Genomic DNA, 10395 nt, shown 5'->3' on the forward strand with positions numbered 1-10395 from the left:
CTCGCTCTATCGCCCAGAATGGAGGGCAGTGGTGCAATCTTGGCTCACTGCAACCTCGCGGGTTCAAGCAATTCTCCTGCCTCAGCCTCCGAAGTAACTGGAATTACAGGTGTGCATCACCACACCCGGCTAATTTTTGTATTTTTAGTAGAGATGGGGGTTCACCATGTTGGACACACTGGTCTCGAACTCGTGACCTCAGGTGGTTCCCCCCCGCAATCTTGGCCTCCCAAAGTGTTGGGATTATAGGCGTGAGTCAAAGCACCCGGCCTCTTTTTTAGAATCCCAGACAATTGTTGAACACTTTTGCATTAAACTACAAAGTCTCTGATTGATGATTCTCTGAAAATCTTTAGGTCAACCCAAATTGGATTCATGAGTTGCAAAGGATGTTTATTACCTTGTGCGTGCAGACGTAGGAACTTTTGGGATCTTGTAAGCCTATTTCATATTCACATCCTGTATTAGTCCGTTTTCACACTGCTATGAAGAACTGCCTAAGACTGGATAATTCATGAAGGAAAGAGGATTCATTGATTCACAGTTCAGCATGGCTGGGGAGGCCTCAGGAAACTTAACAATCATGGCAGAAGGGGACGCAAGGCACCATCCCATTATCACGAGAACAGCATGGGGGAACCTTCGCTATGGTTCAGTGACCCCAACCTGGTCTCTCCCTGGACACATGGGGATTATGGGAATTACAATTTAAGATGAGATTTGGGTGGGGACACAGAGGCTCACCATATCACATCTGAAGACACACAAACTTGGGAAAGCACCCAGGAGGCTTAATAGACTTGATTTTGTCAAAAATTTTGAAATAGAATTGGGAAAAGGAAAAACAACTTTTCCTCTACCTTATCCGCCCCGCCACCCCTGGGTCTTGGTCTTGGGTGGAAGCATTATCTTTTTTTATTGCAGGAGGTGGGGCAGGCATGAACAATGAAAGCTCTCACTGGGTAGAAACAATTTTCCTAGATTCTTCAAGAACAAAAGCAAATATGTCCTGGCGAGGTGGCCGACACCTGTAATCCCAGTGCTTTGGGAGTCCAAGGAAAGAGGATTGCTTGAGCCCAGGAGTTCAAGATCAGCCTGGGCAACATAGTGAAACCTCATCTCTACAAAAAATGTAAAAAATTAGCTGGGCGTGCTTGCGCCTGCCTGTGGTCCCAACTACTCTGGAGGCCGAGGTGTGAGGATTGCTTGAGCCCAGGAATTGGAGGCTGCAGTAAGCCATGATTGCACCACTGCACTCCAGCCTGGACGACAGACAGAGACCCTGTCTCTAGATATAAAAATAAAAATACCTTTTTTTTTTTTTTTGAGACGGAGTCTCACTCTGTCACCCAGGCTGGAGTGCAATGGCGTGATCTCGGCTCACTGCAGCCTCTGCCTCCCGGGTTCAAGCGACTCTCCTGCCTCAGCTTCCCGAGCAGCTGGGACTACAGGCGCGTGCCACCACGTCCAGCTAATTTTTCATATTTTTAGTAGAGACGGAGTTTTGCCGTGTTAGCCAGGATGGTCTTGATCTCCTGACCTCATGATCCACCTGCCTTGGCCTCCCAAAGTGCTAGAATTACAGGCATGAGCCACCGTGCCCGGCCCCCAAAATAATTTTTTTTAAAAAAGCATCCTTTCTGAAGAATTGGCTCAGGGGAGTCCAAGATTCACTTTATACTAATGAGATGCTAGGCTAATTTTCTTCTAATATTTTCTATAAGTCTCTTATTCTGATGCCAAATTAACAGAAGGTCCAACTTTCAATTCCTGGTTTGCTTTCTAGTTATCCTGGGATTGATTTTCTTGGCCTTTTGTAAATGCACAAAGCAAAGGGCCAAAAAGAAAATAAAATAAAGTATAACAAAGAGAAGCAAGAGATGGTGAAACCCCGTCTCTACTAAAAATACAAGAATTAGCTGTGCGTGATGGTGGGCACCTGTAATATCCCAGCTACTTGGGAGGCTGAGGCAGGGAATTGCTTGAACCCGGGAGGCAGAGGTTGCAGTGAGCCAAGATTGTGCCACCACACTCCAGCCTGGACAACAGAGTGAGACTCTGTCTCAAAAAAAAAAAAAAAAAAAGAGAAAGAAAACAAAAACAAGGCACTCTTCTATAAATACCAAGACCCTACCTCAAAAGAGGACCTTTCCAACTGCATCCACTCACAGCTTGGTTTTTATACCTGAATTATAAAATGAGTTTAATATTTATCTCAGTGACATGATTTTGTTAGTAGACATGGAATTGTGATGTTGGATCGAGTTATCCGGAAGACGAAAGATGTCAGAGCCCTCAGCCTCTGGGGCAGGATTTTGCTTTATGGGTTCGATTTCCGGGATGGTGATTTTGAGATCTGGCAACCCCATAGGTTCATGGGGAGCTTGGAGATTTCATAAGAAGGATGTGAGTATAGCATGCCCTGGTCCTTCAAGAAACCATGGGCCAGGCGCGGTGGCTTACGCCTGTAATCCCAGCACTTTGGGAGGCCAAGGCGGGTGGATCACCTGAGGTCAGGAGTTTGAGACCAGCCTGGCCAACATGGTGAAACCCTGGCTCTACTAAAAATACAAAAATTAGCCAGGCATGGTGGTGCACACATGTATTTCCAGGTACTCGGGAGGCTGAGGCAGGAGAATCGCTTGAACCCAGGAGGCAGAGTTGCAGTGAGCCGAGATCGAGCCACTGCACTCCAGCCTGGGGACAAGAGCGAGACTTTGTCTCAAAAAAGAAAAAAGAAAAGAAAAACCATGCCCAGTTTTGGGGATACTGTTATTCTACCAGACAGGCTCATTTTCCGGGACTGTGTCATTGCATTGAAATCTGTGGTGTTTGTTAAATTTGTATTAAAATGAGTCCCAGGCGAGTGAGTAGACATAGGTGAGTCTTCGGCATCTTTCCAACAAGGAGATGCCTTTATCAAATCCTGTGACTTGATATAGATTTACTGAGAAGCTTTGCAGTGTTATATTTTGGGGTTCACGGATTAGAAACTCCTTGTGGAATCAGATGGCTCTGTCTGTTATAGGTTGGTGCAAAAATAACTGCGGTTTATGCCATTAAAAGTAATAGCAACATAGCAAGACCTCGTGTCTACAAAAAACGTAAAAAAAAAAAAATTAGCTGAGTGTGGTGGCTCCCAGCTAATTTTTTACCTTTTTTTGTAGAGACAGAGTCTTGCTATGTTGCCATTACTTTTAATGGCAAAAACCACAATTACTTTTGCACCAGCCTCCGTTCCTCCCTTCCTACAGATTTGAGTTTGTGGTGCTTGGGCTTCTCCTGGTTTTTGTCCATGTGATACGAAGGGGCCTGTTGAAGCTGCTTCTCTCATGCACTCGGGGTCTGTGACTTCGCATCTGGGTGTGTTGGCTTCGCGGGGGACCTGGCTCAGACCACTAACCACACGGAGCCTGACCACTTCCCACAGAGCCCAGCTTCCGTGGCTGGCAAGGGGTGTTCAGGATGCTGTCCTTTGGCTGTGGTGGCTGGTCCTACTGCTCTGTTTGCCAGGGTCCTGGGCTCACAGTGGGTTTCTTGAGGCTTTGGCAAGATGGGCGATTGGCTCTCCCTGTCTCCTTCTTTCTCTTTCTTCTTCTCTGCCTTTCTTCCTTCCCTCCTCCTTTCTTTCCCCCTCCCTCCTTCTTTTCTCTCTTCCTTCCCTGCTTTTCTCTTTCTTCCTTTGCCCTCAGTTCTCCCTCTCTCTCTCTTTTCATTCTTTCTTGAACTCTCCCTCTTTCTTCCTCCCTCCCTCCCTTCTTCTTTTCCTCCTTTTCCTTTTTCTCTCTTCCTTTTCTCTATCTCTTCCTTTCTTCCTTCTCTTTTCTTCTTATGTACCTCTTTCTTTTTTCTCTCTTCTTTCCTTCCTTCCTTTCTTTCCATCCCTCCCTCCTTCTTTCCTTTTCCCCTCTCCATCCCTTCCTCCTTTCCTTCCTTCCTTTCTTTTTTTCCTCTCTATTCTTTGTCTCTCTTCATCCATCTCTCCTGTTCTTACATGCCTCTTTTCTTCCTTCCTTCTTTCTTCTCTCCCTCCTTCCCTTCTTTCCTTCCTTCCTTCCCTTCCTCCTTCCCTCTCTCCTTCCCTTCCTCCCTCCCTCCCTCATTTCCTTCCTCCCTGCTTCACTTCTTCCTCCCTCCCTTCCTCCATACCTCCCTGCTTCCTTTTTTCCAACCTCCTTCCCTCCTCGTTCCTTCCCTCTTTCTGCCTTCCTCCCTTCCTTCCTCCCATCCCTTCTTCCTGCTTCCCTCCTGCTCTCCCTGTTCCCTGCCTCCCTCCCTGCCTTCCTCTGTCTCTCCCTTCCTCCACTCCTTAATTTTGGTTTCCACTTCCCACTCTCACACTTTGAGCCTCTATCCCATTACTTCCTTGCTCAGAGCAGCTCTTTCTAACACCTCCCTGCTGCTGGGAGCCCCAGCGCACAGCAAAAGCAGACCCAGCACCAGTTTACTTTTTGTATTATTATTTTTTATCGTTTTCAACCTTCCATTTCAGATGGCTGAAGACCTAGGGGTGAGCAGAGAACCCAGCCCAGGCCTGCGGAGCGTCCTGACCGTAATCGTTTTATCTGCTAAGACATAGCCTTAAAGCAAACCCTTCCATCTGCCGCTCCCCTCGCCCTGCTGGCAAATTCCCACCACGATGGGATTCTCAATCACATGGCGGATTCTCTGCCTTCAGTTCCATATGCTTTTGCCTTTCTGGATGCACAGAAGCTCATTATAGCAAATCATATTTCTGCATAAGAGCTTCAGAAAATGAAGAGAAATGCAGATATTTTCTTTTAAACATGAATCTAACAGAAACAGGGCAGTGACTTCCATGTTTTAATGAGTTTTGTCCCTAAGTCCATCCCTGCCAAGGGAACAAACTGGGGCCCAGGGTGGCCACCCTCTTCCCTGCAGTGTCCTAGGTTAAGCTCACTCACGTCCTAAGGATTTGACCTTCCAGGTCATGCATGGATTTTTAAATCTTCAACGTTTTTGGCCGTTGACTTGCATTTCTCACTGCACTTCCTATGAAGCAGTTCTTAACTCTTTCTGTGATCAGTGTTCCAAACAGGTACACACCTTGGTTCCTAGAAAAACAAAATTCATACGTTGAGGAATCACCTAAACATCTCCTGATCTTCACACTGTAAGGCGTGTTGGGAATTGGTGGGTGGTCAGGTCCCTATTCACACATTTGAGCACGGAGCCTCTGCGGCCGTCTTCCTTGGATTCTCTCATATCCCTGAAAAACACAAATTGTACCTGGATTTTCCTTCTGTTTCCAAAGTCCACCAACTTGTTCTTCAATGTAATTGATTTTAACTTGTTTTCTTTCTTTTACTTTTCTTATTTTTTTCTTTCTTTTCATTTTTTTCTTATTTCTTTTCCTTCTATTTATTTTACTTTTCTTATTTGTTATATGTTATTTCTTTTTCTTTTCTTACTTTTCTTCTTTTTTCATTTTTCTTTTTTAAATTGGAGTCTCACTCTGTTGCCCAGGCTGGAGTGCAGTGGTGCAATCTTGGCTCACTGCAGCCTCCACCTCCTGGGTTCAAGCGATTCTCCTGCCTCAGCCTCCCGAGTAGCTGGGACTACAGGCACACACCACCACACCCAGCTAATTTTTGTATTTTTAGTAGAGACGGGGTTTCTCCATGTTGGCCAGGCTGATCTCGAACTTCTGACTTCAGGTGATCTGCCTGCCTCAACCTTCCAAAGTGCTGGGATTACAGGTGTGAGCCACTGTGCCTGGCCCTTTTTCTTTTTTCTTTTTTTTTTTCTCTTATTTCTTTTTTCTTATTTGTTTTCCTTTTTGCTTTTTCTTTTTATCTTATTTCTTTTACTTATTTTTCTTTTTTTTACTTTTATTTCTTCTCCGTTTTTCCTCATTCTTTTCCTCTTATTTCTTTGACTTTTCTGATTTCTTTTTTTTTCTTATTTTCCTTTTTTTTTCATATTCCTTTTAATTTTTTCTTACTTCTTTTACTTTTCTTATTTGCCCTCTTGTGGAAATGAGGCACAGCCTCCCTTATGGTTGAGCCGTAGTTCTAGCTGAGCACGGATGGTTTGATCCTCCTGTGTTGGGGCACTGTATGGTGTGAGGGCACAAAACCTTGACCCACATGGGTCTGGTCACCTTCTCACAGAGGTCACCTTTACAGCCCCCCAACTCTTTGAAGGATGTGTCCCAAGGTGTCTCAAGTCTGATGCAATGAAAGCTGCCCCCCATTGACCACAGGACTGAGTCCAGAATGTCCTGCGTGTTTCCCAGAGTGTCTGTCCTAACACCGCTTAAAGATTAGCCACTGCTAGACAGTGATCCTCAGGTATATGGTCTCAGGATTGGCCCCAAGCACACGGTGTGTGTGTGTGTATAAATATATCTTCACAAAGCATAGGTACCCATTAAAGCCATATTGCTTTGCTGAATGGTTCTAATAGCTACAGATGATTTCTAGCCTGAAAGAAAAGCACCACGAATTGTTTGAAGTTGACTTGTCAGATGTGGCATGCTTGGTCTAAGTTTTGACAGGAAGGGTATGTGGGTAGGGGTGTACGGAGCATCTCATGAGACCAGTTCTCCTCCTGAGAGGTCCGTGATGTTGGAACTGTTGCCCCAGATGGACTTTGCCCTTGTGAGACTTTATACTTTTCAATGCAGTTTTTCCCTCTTTAAAACTCGCCAGCTTTTATGTAGTGTTTTATAAAATTACAGGAATAAAAAGAATATCTTTTATGCTTTTTAACCAATGAGGGGAGAGGGAGAAATTATTTGTCCTCTGAAATGAATGCAGGTTTTCAATTTCTAGCCAGGACAGTTTGCTGCAAAATGCACCCGTGTTGACAACTTGTGACTGGCAGAACAAATGACATTTGTGGTGAACATTTTCGGATCATTTCGAATGTTCTTCTCTTCAGGGGGTTTTCCTCTCTTTTTCTTAAATCAAAGAATTTGGCCCTTTATGTGGGAGTCATTTAGTGGTTAGGGAGAACAGTTGAAACTGTGGAGTTCACGTAGCGTAAACTGGCGAGGCTGTCTCTGCTGCTGTCATTAAAAGTTACGCTGCTGGCTTGGCACGGTGGTTCACACCTGTAATCCCAGCATTTTGGGAGGCCGAGGTGGGCAGATCACGAAGTCAGGAGATCGAGACCATCCTGGCTAACATGGTGAAACCCCGTCTCTACTAAAAATACAAAAAATTAGCTGGGCATGGTGGCGGGCGCCTGTAGTCCCAGCTACTCGGGAGGCTGAGGCAAGAGAATGGCGTGAACCCTGGAGGCGGAGGTTGCAGTGAGCCGAGATCGCGCCACTGCGTTCCAGCCTGGGCGACAGAGCAAGACTCTGTCTCAAAAAAAAAAAAAAAAGAAAAGAAAAAGAAAAGTTACGCTGCTGCACCATACAAACGTGTTCCTTTATGAAGGCATTTGAACCACAGATGGGGCCGTTTTACAAATAGCACGGTCTTTGTGAGGGGGAAACGCATGGCCACAGATTCGATGAGCTTCTGCTGCTTCCCTTTGTGTTGAAAACGTGGGTGTTCCTTCACACCAACACTGGAAATAAATAAATACCTATTGATCTGTGCATCTCTTACGCGTTTCCAATTCTGTTGGCTTATGCTGTGGGTCAGAAAAGAAGCGACACCGACAACATTTGGGGACTTGACCCTGTTTGCATTGCGGCATGTTTGAAACATTTTTTAATGGAAATTTGGGAATAGAGGGCCGGGCGTGGTGGCTCAGGCCTGTAATCCCAGTACTTTGAGAGGCCGAGGTGGGCGGATCACAAGGTCAGGAGATCAAGACCATCCTGGCTAACACGGTGGAACCCCATCTCTACTAAAAATACAAAAAATTAGCCAGGCGTGGTGGTGCATGCCTGAAATCCCAGCTACTCAGGAGGCTGAGGCAGGAGAATTGCTTGAACCCGGGAGGCGGAGGTTGCAGTGAGCTGATATCGCGCCACTGCACTCCAGCCTGGGCGACAGAGCGAGACTCTGTCTCAAAGAAATAATAATAATAATAAATAAATAAATAAATAAATAAATTTGGGAATGGAAACAAGACTGGGAAAAAATGCTGGAGGAGGAAGAAAACCGGGTACACAAGACGCCTTGGCTGTCTTGTCCTTTGATGGCTGGGGAAGCTCTTAGTGCTCGGAGTCCTCACTCACCTCTCTGCATTCTGAGGGAGGTAGAAGGGGGGACAGGAGAGCCAATTCAACCTGAGAAGGATGATTGGTGGAGGTGGGTAAAGGAAGAAAGTCCCCTTTCCCTAGGTACTGAAAAGATGCTAATCTGCTGAGATTCTCTGTATTTATTTTTATTTATTTTAATTTTTATTTTGAGACAGTCTTGCTCTGTCACCCACGCTGGAGTGCAGTGCCACGATCTCAGCTCACTGCAACCTCCACCTCTTGGGTTCAAATGATTCTCCTGTCTCAGCCTCCCAAGTAGCGGGGACTACAGGTGCACGCCACCACGCCCAGCTAATTTTTGTATTTTTAATAGAGACGGGGTTTCACCATGTTGGCCAGGATGGGCTCGATCTCTTGACCTCGTGATCCGCCCGCCTGGCCTCCCAAAGTGGTGGGATTACAGGTGTGAGCCACCATGCCCAGCCTCTGCATTTATTTTTATTTATTTATTTTTATTTTTATTTTGAGACAGTCTTGCCCTGTCACCCAGGCTGGAGTGCAATAGTGTGATCTCGGCTCACTGCAACCTCCACCTCCTGGGTTCAAACGATCCTCCTGCCTCAGCCTCCCGAGTAGCTGGGAGTATAGGTGCACGCCACCACGCCCAGTTAACTTTTGTATTTTTTAGTAGAGACGGGGTTTCACCATGTTGGCCAGGCTGGTCTCGAACTCCTGACCTCAAGTGATCCACCTGCCTCAGCCTCCCAAAGTGCTGGGATTACAGGCGTGAGTCACCACGCCCAGCCGTCTGCATTTGTTTGATGAGTTTGGGGGCAGTTATAAATAAGAATCTTATTTTCACAGATGCACGTACTTTTTTTTTTTTTATAGAAAGAGCTTCCATGTGCGTGTTCCTCAGTGTTTAGGGAGAAGAAAGCAACCCTTAAAATAGAGGAAAATGAAGCTGCTTGGATTACCCTGTTGAAGTTCATCTCTGCCTGTGCCATGCATGAAAAAATACTGGCAAAGTCTTCACTTACATGAGTGTTAGACTCCATGTTCCCAGTGGGTCTCGGGGTTCAGAACTGAGTGCTCTCATCCAAGCAATAGGAGCGTCGACCTCAGGAAAGCCCAAGTGTTTTGTGTGTATTTTGAGGAGTGGGTTATCTGTTGCACTGAGCCTCTCTGTGTATTTTCTTCTTCTTTTCAGCAGAACAAGGGGAGGTGGACATGGAGAGCCACCGGAATGCCAACGCAGAGCCAGCTGGTAAGAAGGACGGGGAACGATGGCTTGCACACGTGGCCAGTGTTCCCATTTTATCTTCTCCATCCTCTCCCATCTTGCTGTCCTGCTCACATTCTCAAATTTGGTTGCATGGCTTTGAATGTCTTCCTTTATGTCTCGTTGCTTTGGAGGGATACTTTCAAAAGACAATGAATGTGTAAACTTCCTAGGGCCTGGGCCTTCAGAGAAGACCTATATGTGCCTAAGTCTCTGTTTAACAAAATATTAAGGAAGTTTTCCCAGGAGTTCGAGACCAGCCTGGCCAACATGGTGAAACCCTGTCTGTACTAAAAATACAAAATTAGCTGAGTGTGGTGGTGGGCGCCTGTAATCCCAGCTACTTGGGAGGCTGAGGCAAGAGAACTGCTTGAACCTGGGAGGTAGAGGTTGCAGTGAGCCGAGATCGTGCCATTGCACTCCAGCCTGGGCGACACAGTGAGACATGTTTCAAAAAAAAAAAAAGTTCCAAGTGGCACACGATTGGTGCATAGTTGGGAAGTCCACAGCTGGCTGGTGTGCACTGGGAATTAAAAGCCCATCTCCTGAAATATAACTCGTTAAGTTTTGCTGTCAACTTTTTTTTTGTTGTTAGAGATAGGGTCTCACTCTGTCGCCCAGGCTGGAGTGCAGTGGCACGATCATAACTTACTGCAGCCTCGATCTCCTGGGCTCAAGGGATCCTCCCACCTCAGCCTCCTGATAAGCTGGAACCACAGGCGTGCACCACCGTGTCCGGCTGATTTGTTGTTGTTTTTTTTTTATTTTGTAGAGACAAGGTCTCACTAGGTTGCCCAGACAGGGTCTCACTATGTTGCCCATCCTGAGCTCAAGCAACCCTCCGACCTCAGCTTCCCAGAGTGCTGGGGTTCTAGGCGTGAACTACCGCACCCAGCCTGCTATCACCTTCTAAAAATCCTCTCAACCAGGTGGAAAATGTGGTTAAGAAGAGACTTTAATTCGTGAGAAACTTCTCAGGGTAAAAGGC

General features: G+C 46.1%; 1 protein-coding gene across 7 annotated transcripts in view; it reads left to right on the top strand.

Annotated features, from left to right (window-relative positions):
• The window catches only part of CD99 (CD99 molecule (Xg blood group)), a 50015-nt gene that overhangs the window by 37570 nt on the left and 2050 nt on the right, over nucleotides 1-10395 (top strand). For 3 of the 7 annotated variants that reach the window (NM_002414.5, NM_001321370.2, NM_001122898.3), the window contains one exon: nucleotides 9336-9392. In NM_002414.5, coding sequence (NP_002405.1) covers nucleotides 9336-9392 — 57 coding nt within the window. Of the gene's footprint in view, nucleotides 1-4492; nucleotides 7574-9335; nucleotides 9393-10395 lie in introns of those variants that run through there. The other 4 variants (NM_001321368.2, NM_001321369.2, NR_135623.2 and 1 more) reach the window with 3 other exon arrangements.

The sequence above is a fragment of the Homo sapiens genome, chromosome X, assembly GCF_000001405.40.
Source record: "Homo sapiens chromosome X, GRCh38.p14 Primary Assembly".
In the NCBI taxonomy this organism is placed as follows: domain Eukaryota; kingdom Metazoa; phylum Chordata; class Mammalia; order Primates; family Hominidae; genus Homo; species Homo sapiens.